Here is a 14,965-nt window from a genome sequence, read left to right as displayed (position 1 = left end):
CGTGCACTTAGACTACGAAAGAGCACAAGAAAGATAAATGTCTACCACTTTTTCAATGGGCCGCTTAGACATGATATCAATAATCTGATTCCTACAGATCAGGGCTACAATTTGAATGCATCCTCTCCAAAATTCAGGTGTAGCCAATGTGATGGTTTAAGAGGTGAGACCTTTAAGTGGTGGTTAGACCAGGGGTACTTTTTCTGCCTAAACGGGATCAGGTGCCTTCATAAAAAAGGCTTCACACAGCATTTGAGGAGCTTGCTCTTCTACCTTAGTGTCACTTCCCTCTGGAGGAGGCAGCCACAAGGTGTCATCTTGGAAGCAGAGAACAGCCCTCACAAGGCACCCAAACCTGCTGGTGCCTTAACCTTGGACTTCCCAGACTCCAGAACCATGAGAAAATTTATTTCTGTTCTTTACAAATTACCCAGTCTCAGGTATTTTGCTATATATTTTGTCCCAGTACAAATGGACTAAGACAATACAATATTCTGGGTGTAAGAGAAACTGTAAAAATAATTTTAACACTTCAAACATCTTTTGAAGTAGTCAAAAATAATATATTTTGAAACTCACGGTAATTTTCTCCCCTCAGATTTAGTGCTAAAATAATATCTTTATCAATGTAATCATTATTATTAAGCTAATTTTGTAAGCAAATAATTTTCAGAGGCTAAAAAGTCATTAAAATTAATTAAATTTTCTTTGAGAAGGTTAAATAAAAAGTTTGCCTCAGGAGGCTGAGGCAGGAGAATGGCGTGAACCCGGGAGGCGGAGCTTGCAGTGAGCCGAGATCGCGCCACTGCACTCCAGCCTGCGCGACAGATCGAGACTCCGTCTCAAAAAAAAAAAAAAAAAAAAAAGAAATAGAAAAAGAAAGTTTGCCAGACGTCTAAATTTCTGTCCCAATCACTAGAGGTACTTAGATACTGATGTTTCCCAGTTTCCTTCTTACTCAGAATCCAGAGACAATCAGCATTATTGAGCTGTAAGGAATGGTATCCTGTTAGCCATTTGTTCTAATTCTACCCTCAAGCAGTCACGGAAACGTGGAAAATCACAGAATCAGGGGGATTCCTAGAGCACAATCTCCAAGAATGTTTCGGCGGCATATGAAGAGGGTATATTTGTCAGGGATCCTGCCCACCACTCCCCCGCCCCCCGCCAATAGTCATCTATCATTCTGAGAGAGAAAATACTCAGCTAAATAAACAGCACTTCTGGATAGAGTTTTGCCCTGAACCTCTGCCTTCTTTCTCCATTTTTGGTCCCAAGCCTCTCTAACATCTCCCTTTCTCTGCCTGGATGGGAACAAGCTTAAAGCTGTTTGGGAGCTGAGCTTGCAAACCCGGCGCTGCTCGGTCAGATCAGAGACATTAATACTCACCTCAACGGGCTTCACAGGGAGACACAGAGGGTCAGATATTCCTAGTTCAGGGGGAAGTGCCACTCCTAGATACCATGCAGGGAAGAGAGTGGAGGAACTAGACAGAACTGGCCCACCCCTTCATGGGGAGCTGAGCAGTCTCTGGAGGTGGGGATGACGCTTCTCAGATGCTCACCACAAAATAAACAGGCATCCCACAACTATGATCCACCTGAGCCTCTAGGTTGTGTGCTGCTCAGGTGTGGATAATAAGGGAAGGAAAAGCCTCCCAGATGAAACAACTCTTCCTCCAATAACCTTCACCTGTGCTGTGGCCCAGGCCGGGCTGAGGAACAGAGGTTGTAGGAAAACCACTTCCTTCTGGCCCTTATGGGGCCACCAACTCAGAAGGCTTTGTCCTAAGTTACTAATTGTCGGGGTCCAGCCAACCCTTCCTTAAAGGGAAGGCACAAGGAAGACATTGTTCTAAGTCAGACTTTGCATTAGAAGAAAACATTCTACAGCAAAACCATGGCCACGGCTGGACTTTCTCCAGGGTCTGAGATGCTGTGTTGATGCATTTGTTCCTCTCTGGTTTTGGGGAACTTTGAATCTCCCTCAATCCTGTCAAGAAAAAGTCCCAGCACGATATGAGATGCACAGTGTCCTGGCTGTGAGTGAGGAGATGTCCTCTTGTCTGCCTCTCCAAATGGAGGGAAATTGTCACAGGGAAGTTTTCTAAAGAAAACCTAAGGAGGACGGGGCGGGGGGACGGGGGACTTTAATTTTTCAGGACTTATTCTTCTGAACTTCTGATTTTTTTTTCACAAGAAGCATGCCTTGTTCTGCAATAATAATGAAAAGAAAGTCTAGAAGGAATGAGTTAACTTCACCACATCACATAAAACCATTATTATAAATGAGCTTAAAGATATTAAATATAATGCATGGGTTTTATGGCATGCTGAGGGAAGTGGTATAGTTTAATTGAGGATTTCCTGTGCTGTCTGGAGCTGAGAATAAAGGACTGTATTGTGACCTCTCTTCCCCTCTTTTCCCTTTCCTCCAGAGCCTAATATATCAATCAAATAAAATTAGTGTAATTAGGAAGCCAATTAAAGACAGAGGGGTGCTTCCTCGAAATTTCTCTAATGAAAACCTAGGTGCTATTGTAAAGCAAACAAGTGTATCTATTTATGGAAATTAAGTGAATATGATCATTGTAGCTTTAAGGAACTCAGATAATTGAGATTCAGATTGTTCCAAATACAAATGGGTTCTTGGAGAATGAACGCTAATTTTTATAAAAGATAATCAATATTTCCTCTTGAGACTGGTAACTTTGTGACTTCCAGAGTTGTCACTTTTTTTTTTTTTCCTTTATGATGACTGCTTCCATCTCATCCCTTGTCTCAGCTCACCTGCTTCCTGCCTTGGAGAGCAGGGGTTGGTAGTGGGTGAACACTGATGGGGTTGGAAAGTTGCGTTCCTTTGATATCAGCCCAGGATAGTGTAGAGCTCTCCTGGGGCTGGATCAAGTTTTTCTCCTTTAAGCCTATGGTAAGTTCTGAGCTGCCAGCTCTCCTCTAGCTGGGTAGAGAGCAATTTTAAGGGAGTAGCGGGAACTGCAGGAGGTTGAGCAGTGAATGGGAGTGGAGGAAATGGATAGAGTCAGGGAGGACTACTTCTTATGTACTCTTGGCTGTGGAGGAGAGCAGAGGGGGCAAGGGCAGCTTGAGAGACTGCCAACTCCCAAGCAGGCTACTTTAGGCTGGGGATAAGTTTAATATGTTTATAATCTGAGAGAATCAGCCAGGGAAGATGGGGATCTATATAGTTTTATGTTCATTCCAAATTTCCATTGAATTATTTTAGATCATAAGATACTTGATCTGTTATTTATTGTCAGTTTATTTTAAGAACTGAACATCTTTTGAAAATGACAGAATGAGTCCAGTGAGTGGGAGCTACCATGAGCCTCACTACCAGTACTGCAGGGCTGGGGTCTCTATGGGCAAAAAAGGAAGACAGAGCCTGGCAGTCCCTCAGTGGCCAGAACACCACGAAACTTAGCTGACGACTTTGAATGTGATTTCAAAGCATTTTAAAATAATAATGTCCTTTTCCACGTGCCTTTCCTTTTTCACTATTCAGTCCACATAGGGTACTTTCAAAAATGCTCATGTTTTTCTTAGAACATGACTCAGGTATTGTCCTTTTCTGAAACAAATAAAGCAACATAAAGCTTCTTTACCAAATTTAAAGTTCTTGTTTTCCAATCACTGCTCTAAATAGATCACCATTATGAAATGGTTAAGTGTGACAGAATTAGTGGTAACTTCCTAACTGCCAATATACCAATTTTAAGCGAGTTTGTACTGAGTGCTAACCAGTTGCTAAGGGATTTCCAACCCGTGATGCCAGCTGGCTCACTTTGATTAACAAGAAATGGCCTTGATGTCCTTGCAAGAGATACTAGCTAGAAAGAATTAGATCCTTGCCTTGTGTCAGGCTCTGGGCTAAGTGCTTAGTCTAAGCTCATTTCGCTCTATGAAGTATCACACGATCACCATGCCCTTTTTATGAGGCAGGAATCAGAGGCTTAGAGAGGCTGTGAAACTCAAATCACAGGGCTGTCTGGTAAGTAGCAGAGCAGGACCCAAACCCAGGCATGGCTGGCCACAAAGCATGGGCTCTTATCCATTAAGCTGTAGCTCTTGCCTCCTACAGGAGAAATAAAAAAGAGAAAGCACCAAAGGTCATGCTGTACAGCAGCAGAGTTGAGCCTGTTCTAGTAGGTCTCCTTTGGGATAATAACCATACCAGTAAAGCCGCACTTGATTATCTAAGGACATTCTGGCCCAGCCTGCCTGGGACTACTTAGATCTGCTGAAACCTGCTATTCATGTAACCTGATTGCCAAAATGCTTTTCCTTTTTCCTTTTCCTCTAAAGCTTCACCTCGCAAGCAACCAAATGCAGCTAATCCAGAAAAATGAGATCTGTGTTCTTTCCCAAGTCTGATTGTTTCAGTCTATTACTTCAAAATCTTAATAACCTTTTCCAAGTCCTATTTCATACCCTAAATGACTAATAACCAGGTTACCTAACTCATATACTAAAATATTTCCTTCTTAATCTTTAGTGGTGGGGTTAGAACTGGGTTGACTTTATCATGTCTCTTCACTATGGTTGCTTGATAAAAATTTAGAACTGCTTCTTGATTAAGTTGACCATGGCTCTCCTCTTGAATTCTATATACCCAGTAAGAGATCAGTGTCTGCCACTTAACAGGCATTCAGTAAAGATTTTTTGAATGAATGAACAAAGTATATTAGATAAGCTTTGGTACAACAGCCCATTCCAGCTACAATGATCTGAAACAATCATGCACTGATATATGCCAGAACTCTACAAAATCTATTTTTTCCCCTTGGAAGAAATAGAAGTGTCAATTGCCTTAAATCATTTTTAATGTCATAAAATAGATAGGGACAAGAAATTTTTGCATATTCTGGCGGAGCTGTGAAAATGCAATTTTTAGCCTTTTGCTACCAGATTGGCTCTTGCTGAAAACATTCTCACAGTCTCCAGTCTTCACGTGCTTCTTCGTGCTGTCAGGCACAGAACAACTTTTTTGTGAAAACACAACATTTCCCAGGGAGTATTCCCAGAAAGTCTAAAACACTTTAAAGGGACACCCTAAATCCTAATGTTCTGATGGTTTCACAACTCTTACACGGCTTCCAAGTTCCCCTGTCCCTAATTTGTTCTGGTAGGTTTTTGTTTGTTTTCATTCAGAGGGTTTTCTCAACCAGGCTCTGTAGCTCATGTCAGCAAAGAGAGAGTCAAAAATATCCTTAGTGTGTGCCAACCAAGTGGTAACCACACTCAAGCAAAATACAGCAGCTCTACTGGCTTGTAATTCCATAGGATCAAGGCAGATTACTTGTAGACTAACAGAAGAATTTATAAGATAATTCTATTCTAGGTAGGAAAAGTATGAGTTCAGTTATCTTAAGTCTTGCACATATTAGCAAAGAAAGAACAAGAACGAAACAGGACTTGGTGGGTTTTGCTTCTGGCTGCTCCTGGCCATTTCTGTGAGACATGTCTTATGAAAATAGCATTGGCAAAAACATACCCACAAATATGTTTTGAGAAATAAGCTATAGAGCATGTATACACTATGACACATAATTACTATGTGGGAAAGCCAAATTCCACTGAGAATGTTTTGCATTTACAATGTAAGGGATCGTCCTGTACCTCTCTCTGCCGCCTGCCAAATACATCCACCCCCACGGCCTTCCCACTGTGTAACCCTTCACTTTGGCAATGTTGGATTGCATCCACCCATCAGATCGGTAAAAAATTAGCCATATGAGTCATTCATTTACTAACTCAACAACTATTGATTGAACCTTTACTATGTGAGGATACTGCCTTGTGCCATGTCCACTGAGAACAAGACCCTCCATGATGGCGCCCCAAGGCCATGTGAACCTATGTGGAAATAAACCCAGTAGAGCACAGAGCAGTGCAGGATCAGATGCCCAGCACAGGGTGCGACACTCCTTCTCAAAGGCAAGTTGGGTAAACAAAGAATGTGGTCCATGATTAAAAGTACAATGTAAGATTTCCTAGGCCTTATCGTTTCACTCTGTTTGTGCCTCTGTTGCTTCCTTTTTATTTCTCCTCAATAATGAACATTTAAAAAAATGTTTAAAGATAAGTCAAAAGAGAGCTGTTGACTGGCCTTCTGTGCAGCAAGGCAGGGAAACCAGATTAACTGTGTTCAGTCTTGCAGCCACATGTGAAAACAAGCTACCGAGAAAGAGCCCAGATGGAGAAAGCTCTGAGAAGAGCCTGTAACATTGCGGGTAAGGGGTGATGGGGAACTGGCCCGGACCTCTGTCTCTGTAAGTACATCAGCAGAAAGGTCTGTTCACTTACTCAACACTTAGGTCTTCCTTCTGAATGTTCAAAATGACCCTTTATAATGAATTTTTCCTTTCTTAGCAAGATGTCTTAAAGAATGGGTATTTGACTTTTGAATGAATTCTGAAAAATGGAATACTTAAGAGGAAATTTCTCTATCATATCAAAGTCAATCAACATGCCTTCTGTGTGACAGGCACTGTGTTAGAGACAGGACAGAGAACTCAGGATGCTGGCTCTGCCTGCAAGAAGCTTACCTTCAAGATGGGAAGGCGGGTAGGCAACCAGCACATACATATGATGTGACTCTGATGTCTTCATTTTTATGCCCTGAATAGTTCTCAAATTCAAGTTTTGAAGACAAATTACTTTATGATGTGAGAGCAAAAAGAATGTTTTCTTTAAATGATACATATATTGGTAGTTTGTTATATTTTGAAATTTCTTGAATTATCATTTTTCTGAGAAATTTATGATCCATTTCTCACATTTTCTTGGTGTGGGGCATGATGGAGGAGGGTCATTCATTTTGGAAATGTTTTTGCTAAAGTGTTAAGAAACGGAGGTTGAGAAACTTCAGGCTGGCTTCTTAGCTCCTGACTGCATCTTTTAAAGAGAGAAGTGAGCCTGAATACATTAATTTTCAATGGGAAAGGACAGTTTGGCACAGAAGGGAGAAGAGGACAACCCAGGTGTCCTGGAAAAAGTAGGACCAAGAAAAAGGGAACAGGATAAGGTGGTATGAATAGACTTTCTATGAATACAAATTGAGATTTCAGTCACTCGTGGGACTTGGTACCAGGCCTCTTATGTTTTTGTTATTGTTTGTTTTGTTTTGTTTTTTCTTATGCGAAATTCTTATGCATTTGGGGAAGCTGGGTGACGAGTACATAGGTACTCTTTTGATAATTTTTGTAACATTTTAGTAAGCCTAAAACTATCCCAAAATAAAACTAAAAAATACAGACAAGTAATAAGTTCAAACAGAAACTAGTGGAGCCAAGATCCGAATCTAAATCTGTTTAACTCTCAAACTCTTTATCTTAGCCATTATATTATTCTATCACTCTTTTTATATGATTAAGTGATTCTATTCCCATGTGTTCTTCATTAACAATGTTTTCTACCTGGAGCTCTATTTCCTGGGGACCAAACCTGTAATCATGAACTCCAATTATTTTTATGACTGAGTTGCCTATTTGGGATCTCCTGCCGTCACTTATGACTGATGCTAATTGACGAACCTCTTCAAAGTAATTTCCCTTAATCTTGGACATAGTATTAGTTATCTTATTATACAACAAATTTCCCGTACATTTAGTAGCTTAAAAATGTAAACATTTTATTATCTCTGTGGGTTAGGAATTCAAGAGTGGCTTGGCTGGGTAGCTCTGGCTCATGGTCTCTCATAAGATTGCATTCAAGATGTTGACCAATCATCTCAAGGTTTAACTGGGACTGGGGGATCCATTTCAAGATGGCTCACTTACATAGCTGGCAAGTTGGTGTTGGCTGTTGAAGGTGACCTCGGTTTCTCTCCACATAGGCCTCTCTCCAGGTTCTTTGCCTGTCTGCATGACCTGGAGGTTAACTTCTCCAAGAACAAGTGATCCATGAGAAAGAAAGCCAGTTGAAACTATCTAAGACCTAGTCTCAAAAGTTATATAACATCACTTCTCTCATATTTTATTTGTTAGAAACAAGTCACTAAGTCAAGTCCATAGTCAAAAGGAGAAGGAATTAGATCTGACCTAATGAAAAGAGAATCAGTGTCAAAGAATTTGCAACATATTTTTTAAAACCACCATACCTGTGTTGTGGTCAATGGTACATATCCTAACTATACATCATGCCATGGACATGTCTGGCTACAGCTTAATATTTCTAATTACTGCTCCTGGAAATAATCTGTCCTAAGATTTATTTCCTTATTCATACCTAGGACTTTGTTAAATCTTCTGAATCTTCTGAATAGAATAGAAGATGAAATGATGGAAAACCCAAGCAATACTTGCTTAGGACAAGTGGGCATTTGTTGGCTCATGCAACCCAAAGAACTCTAGGACAATTAAATCCCAGGATGGGTAGTAATTCAGAGAAATAAGTGGGACCAGGAGCTTGAACACTGACAAGACTATACCTTTGTGTCCTGTCTGTGCTCTTCTTGGTATGTCAATTGCAGTCTTTCTCACTTCAGAGAAGTTTTGTATACATGATAGAAACTATAGCTCCTGGCACTTCCAAAATTTACATTCCACAGTCTGACATAAGAGAGAGTCCAGATGATGGTCAGCCTCCTGTAACATGGTAGCTAGCTCCTGGGGTTTCCACAAGTTGGCCTTCAGAAGAAAAGGGTGCCCTGGAGGAGTGAGGAGAGTGATGGAAAGGAAAACACAAGAGTCCTATAAAGGGTTTCTAGAAAAAGTACCAAGAGTGATAAGTATAAATACTGAAGGTAGAAACAGCATTTTATTTTCATGCATTTCTCCATATTCCATTTTAAATTAAAATAGTGATAAAAACAGCCTTTATATGGAAACTGCACACATTTTTTGGTGACTTTCTTCTGTGTGGGTACCCACGGTAATAGTTGGCATTAATATTGACATATTTTAATTAGAACAACATGGCCAGTAGATATGTTCTAAGTTTTTATTTGAATTCTAGAAGAAGCATTTAAGAACTGGCTCTAGTCTTTTCTTGGTTACAAAATAGAATTCACCCCCTTAGGTCTTTCGGTAACACAGAAGACACATTTGCAATATTTTCATCCATGACAGGTGGACACATTTCCCAGAAGGGCAATAGACAAACTGGTAGGACCCAATTCCAAGAAGTAAAAACCATCAAACTTTTGCAAAACAACAGTTCTGCTAATAGTTGTGCATGGTGTGTGTGTGTGTGTGTTTGTGTATGTGTGTGTGAGAGAGAGAGAGAGACTGACAGAGAAACAGAATACTTAGAGAAGCAATGCTAGAAAATTGTATATACACCAATATGCCTATTTCTTTTTGTATTTTAAATAGTCTAATATGACCAAAGAGTTTGACCAAAAAAGTCTAAGATTGCTAGTTCTATAAATAAGTCTTTAAAGAAATACACACATGCACATATTATGTACTTTACATTTTCTTTATAAAATATATTTTATAAAATGCACAAATACTATGTACTTTCTTTATGAAAAGTATATTTACTTTAGACATTTGACTTTGGCAGGCATTTTCTTCAGTTCCCGTCATGGCCTGGTTCATAAAATTTGCCTCTCTAAGATAGTTACTGGTCACCCTTGGAAAGAGTAGTAGTTGTTTTTTAAAAATCCTCCTTTTGTCAACTCATCGCAGCAAACAACTTTTTCTCACTCGCAACTCTCAAACAAGCTTCACACATTCCCTCCTTTGTCCTGGCCTCTCCGTAGGTTCTCCAATGATTGCATTCACATTCAAATGCTACTCTGGGTGCATTCTATTTTGCAATGACATCTCAGCTTCTATTTCTTGTCAACGCTTCTGGTAAAGCAATAGTTCTCCCTTACACATGTCTTCTCAGCAGAATCTACTCTGACAGCCCACATACCCTGCCGCCTGCTTCCTGGCTCCCTCCTTGGAGTGACTGGTGTGTACAAGACAGACAGAGCTTCATTCAGCACATCCCATTCCATTCTGTGGTCCAGTGCTTGCCAGCTCCCATGGGACCTTAGAGTGGCTGATTGCTCTTCCCTCCTCCCTACAAATTTACATTCCTGCCTTCCCCCCCTTCAACTGGAATCTTAAATAGTAAAGCTATTCATTGATCTGCGAGCTTGGAAATAATAGATTAGAAGGGAAGAAACATTAACACAAAGCAGAAGTATCCTGAATGCATCATGCTCCTCAGAAAGGTCACTTTTAGCCATTGGACTATACTATGTCAATGTTGTATTCCCTGGTATCCAAGGAACAAGTCCACTTTAAGAATGGAGTAAGAACCATAGGTCTAGCTGTCCAATTTCCTTTTTCTTACCCTATGCAGAATTGTCTCTTAGAGCCTTTAAGATGTTACAAGGTCCATCTTTTCTAGCCCTTCGCCTTTATTAGCACAAAGAGCCCAGAGCAAATCTGTAGCCATGGTGCCACAAAGACAGTGCACTGAGAACGCTGGCCCATCAGTAAGAAGAGAAGACTCCCATCCTGAAGTCAGGGGCCTTTAATTTCACTTAAAAAAAATTGGCCAGGCGCGGTGGCTCACACCTGCAATCCCAGCACTTTGGGAGGCCGAGGCGGGCAGATCACGAGGTCAGGAGATCCAGACCATCCTGGCTAACACGGCAAAACCCCGTCTCTACTAAAAATACAAAAAATTAGCCAGGCGTGGTGGCGGGCACCTGTAGTCCAAGCTACTTGGGAGGCTGAGGCAGGAGAATGGCGTGAACCTGGGAGGCGGAGCTTACAGTGAGCCAAGATCGTGCCACTGCACTCCAGCCTGGGCGACAGAGGGAGACTCCGTCTAAAAAAAAAATCTACCCAGGGTGGAATCAGGTCTCCCAAATAGCAGCAGTCCCAACCAAATTGTCTCTTGGGTACATTTTCAAGGGTAAGACAGACAAGGCCAGGCCCAACACCTTAGTTCATATTCAGTGGTGTCAAGGGATTCAGCTGCAGGTTTCTCCACTGGTTGCTTGAGGTTGGGGATTGTAATCAACTGCTTCACAAAACTGGCCTTGACGTGCTTAATGGAAGGGGATAAAGGCAGACTTTGCTGGTCACTTCCTGGAATTGTTGGTCAAACTGGAGGGTGTATTTGAAGACCCTGAATAGTATGATGTTGCTGACTGCTGGATTCTGAGCCATTTCCGACTGGCTCAGTAATAGAGCCATATGCTCTGGTCAAAAATTTAACATAAATAAAATTTCTCATTCATTCACATATTTATTTATTTATTTATTTATTTATTTATTTATTTATTTACTTTTAGATGGAGTCTTGCTCTGTCACCAGGCTGCAGTGCAGTGGCACGATCTCGGCTCACTGCAAACTCCGCCTCCCAGGTTCAAGTGATTCCCCTGCATCAGGCTCTGGAGTAGCTGGGACTACAGGCGCCCACCACCATGTCGGCTAATTTTTGTATTTTAATAGAAACGGGGTTTCCCCATATTGGCCAGGATGATCTCGATTTCCTGACCTTGTGATCCACCTGCCTCGGCCTCCCAAAGTGCTGGGATTACAGGTGTGAGCCACCACACCTGGCCCCATTCACTTATTTTTTTAAAAATGTATTGAATCAATACCAAGCGCCCTGCACTGTGCCCCAGGATGGCTTAATCGTTGCATTCAGACTAGCCCTCCTGGATAGAAGCAGCTCTTGTCACTCCCTGAATTCTTCTGTCAGTTCTTTCAGATCAAGGGCTCATTGTGTTCTTCCAATTGCTTCTGCCTAGCGGTCTGCTCAGAGTCTGGGGTCTTCTCCTTGGCAGCCCACCTTGATGCCAACAAAATATAAAAGACAATTTGGGCCAAAACTAAGAATAACATGGCAAAGAGAACTCCCCTTCAAAAAATATTTTTGGTCTGGCCAGACACCAAACAGGTTTACTGACCAGTCAAATGACAAACTTGTTCCTTCTGCTCTAACTACTCAACAAGCCTAAGGTACAGTTTTTCACCTTTGGAAAGTCTGGAAACTTTGTTGACCTGTGATTGAAAATATGGAAATATAAGTCTGTGTCCTTCCAAAGGCCAGTTCTGGGTGATGAATGCCTTTCTGTGGACCTACCAAATAGAAGACTTTAAAAAATGTTAAGAGTTTTTTTTCACACGGTGTTGCCTCAGTAAGGTCATTCAAGTCCTCTTCATCCATTTAACCTTCAGGTTTTAATACCCCATGCTAATATTCAACCATTTCTCTTTCTAAAGCCACCAAATACTCATCAGTGAGATAGTTTCAGTGAAAACATGTTCATAGTTATTGTCAACAGATCCATTTATGGAAATGTCCAAGACACTTAGATAAAATGAATCAAAGAAAAAAAATGTGTTTTTATGATTTCAAGGAGGTTAGAATGCTAGATTGAAAACACCCATAAGGACATAGAGTGTTTGGTCCTCTCTCTTAAGGGGCCCTCAGGGTTTGGCTTAAGAGGCTGGAGCAGGGGATTGTTCTAAAGCTGTGAAAACTGGGAATCTCTAGAGTGTTGAGCCTGAACCAGAGTCCCCTGAGAGCTCCAGAAGATGGGACCAGGATTACTGAAATTAACTGATACATTCATGGTGCAGAATGGATGCAGAAACTGGGGGCCATAACAAAAGAGCAGGAGCCAAACAAAAGGAGAATGAATGGCCACTTAATCAGAGTAAAGCGAAGAGGGCTCTCTGTGCCATAAATGATGCTAAAGTATACAGGGTTTGGTTTCACATGTACAGGTTGCATTAATTTACTGATCAAGGCATCCACCTGTGTTCCAGGCTCTTGTCTTGGTACTGAAGTTATAATATGAAACACTTTAGATTCAGAGACTGCCCAGGAGGCAGTGACAAATGTCATTGGTGTTGTGAGGAGGCAGAATGCTGTGAGAGCCTGTGGGAGCTTCCCCAAACCTAGATTTTGCTGGATGAGGAAAGTTTCTCAACAGAGAAGTTACCCGTGCTGAGACCAGAAAAGCTAGCCAAGTATGCAGATGGGCCAGACTGGATAAAAGTCATAGGATGGGTGGACATTAGTTGCCCAGAATCGAAGGAAGGATTTGTTTTGATCTTTTTCCACTAAATGTCAGAGTTACCAAACACCCACCTTTAAAAATTATGGTATTTTTAAATAATATGATTACACACTAAAGTAGGACAGAAACTTCTGAACTGGTCATGCCAGAATAGGAAGAACTAGGTTGATGAAAATTCTATTAGTTTATTTTAAGGATCTGGGTCTAACTCTGCTGCCCAGGCTGGAGTGCAGTGGCACGATCCTGGCTTATTGCTGCCTCGGACTTCTGGGCTCAAGCAATCCTCATATCTCAGCCTCTTGAATATCTGAGATTACAGAAGCATGCCACCGCATCTGGCTAATTATTTTATTTTTTACTTTTTAACAGGCACGGTCTTGCTATGTTGCCCAGGCTGGTCTTGAACTCCTGGCCTCAAGTGATCCTCCTGCCTCAGCTTCCCAAGTTGCTAGGATTGCAGGTATGAGCCACCACACCTGGCTAATTTTATTAATTAGTTTGAGTTGATAATAACATAACATACACTTTAATATGTAGTAAACTCCAAATCCTTTAAGTATCCACCAGCATGTTGATAAATCAGTTAAATAGGTGTTGGGCTTTCACAGTTTATCTGTGATATGCTCTGTTACCCAAGATGTTACTTGAATATAGTTTTGAAGATTATTTATAATGATAAATAAAATTTATAGATTATAGACCACATGTGCAAGACACCGTTGTGTTTGCCATGTATAAATAACACAATGAGAATGAGCATAATAACAAGAACATATTTAACTACTTACTATGTTCTAAGGGTAGGGGAGTAGGAAAAAGAACTACAGCCTGAAGATGTCCAAAAGCCTCATGGGAAAGAGGCATAGGATAGAATCTAGAGCACTTGTAGGACCTGGAACTTTTGGAAACAGAGTAATTTTGGAAGTAGGAGAAACTCAACAAGTAGGAAGTAGTTTTGGTTTGTTTATTTTTGTTATTTCAGGTACATTTCACTTCATCTCAGCACAACTTTGACATTCATGATGCTAAAGGATGGTGTAATACTAGCCACAGAATGCCGAGGCCTCCTCTAAGACTGTGCTAAATGACTAAGGACAGTTTCCAGGATTTATGGCTATGGAATAAGCCTGAATCTTTCCATAGATGATTCCTGATATTGGTAATGTCTAAGGCTGGATGTAGATTTGGTGGATAGGGCCCAGCAATACAGATTTACATTGACTCACAAATCGTCTTGAAAATGGAAGAGATGATAGATTAAAAAAAAGGAGAAAGTGTAGGGGGAAAAAAACACAATTGGAAGGATAATTGTGTTTCAGATGATGCTGGTGGGTCTATTTTCCTCAATGGTTTTATAACTTCAGCATGCATAAGAAGCACCTAAGGAGGGGAGGAGTACTTATTCAAAATGTATTTTTCTAGCTCGCACTTCCAGAGAATCTGATTCTGTTGGCAGTGGGTAGGGAGTGGGGACCAGGAATCTTTTGAACATCCACATTACGGGATGCAGAAAGTTTAACAAAGACCATAATTTGAGAAACACTTTAAAAGTCTTAGGAAAAAAATAGAAAGAGAAAATAGTCAACACAAAACCTAACAAGGACAGGAGAAACCCAGAATCCAGTCAATAAGAGCCCAATAACAATTATATTACAAAATCACACAATCAATGATGTACTACAATGAGCAATTATGACTTCTTATTGAGTTACTGTTTATTCTCCACCCATTTCCATTAAAATGGCTAGGAAGGAAAAGGTAATATAAATGCTTGATAGAATAAAACATACCATCTATTTTGAGAGAAGCTATCTGGGCAAGGGGAAAGAGTGATGGAAAATACATCGCCTGTTGCCAGTATGAATGGCATAGGCCTTACTGGACTCCAGGCCTGCTTTAATTGCTTACTTATAAGGCTACATTACTGAACAATTTCATAGCTTCCAGGAGCCTGGGTTTCA

General features: G+C 40.8%; 2 annotated features.

Moving 5' to 3' along the window:
* Positions 9,411–9,910: an enhancer, noted in NCBI's record as "H3K4me1 hESC enhancer chr6:136147565-136148064 (GRCh37/hg19 assembly coordinates)". NCBI's record gives its function as "activates a minimal SCP1, AML or CMV promoter by ChIP-STARR-seq in naive H9 embryonic stem cells {active_cell/tissue: H9 hESC(naive)}" and the evidence as "EXISTENCE:reporter gene assay evidence [ECO:0000049][PMID:30033119]".
* Positions 10,707–10,898: a silencer, noted in NCBI's record as "fragment chr6:136146577-136146768 (GRCh37/hg19 assembly coordinates)". NCBI's record gives its function as "represses an EF-1alpha promoter that drives an FKBP-Casp9 reporter gene in an ReSE screen in K562 erythroleukemia cells {active_cell/tissue: K562}" and the evidence as "EXISTENCE:reporter gene assay evidence [ECO:0000049][PMID:32094911]".

Source organism: Homo sapiens, chromosome 6 (assembly GCF_000001405.40).
Source record: "Homo sapiens chromosome 6, GRCh38.p14 Primary Assembly".
NCBI classification, from domain to species: domain Eukaryota; kingdom Metazoa; phylum Chordata; class Mammalia; order Primates; family Hominidae; genus Homo; species Homo sapiens.
The sequence above is the reverse complement of the archived record's forward strand: the minus strand, read 5'-3'. Positions and strand labels throughout refer to the sequence as shown.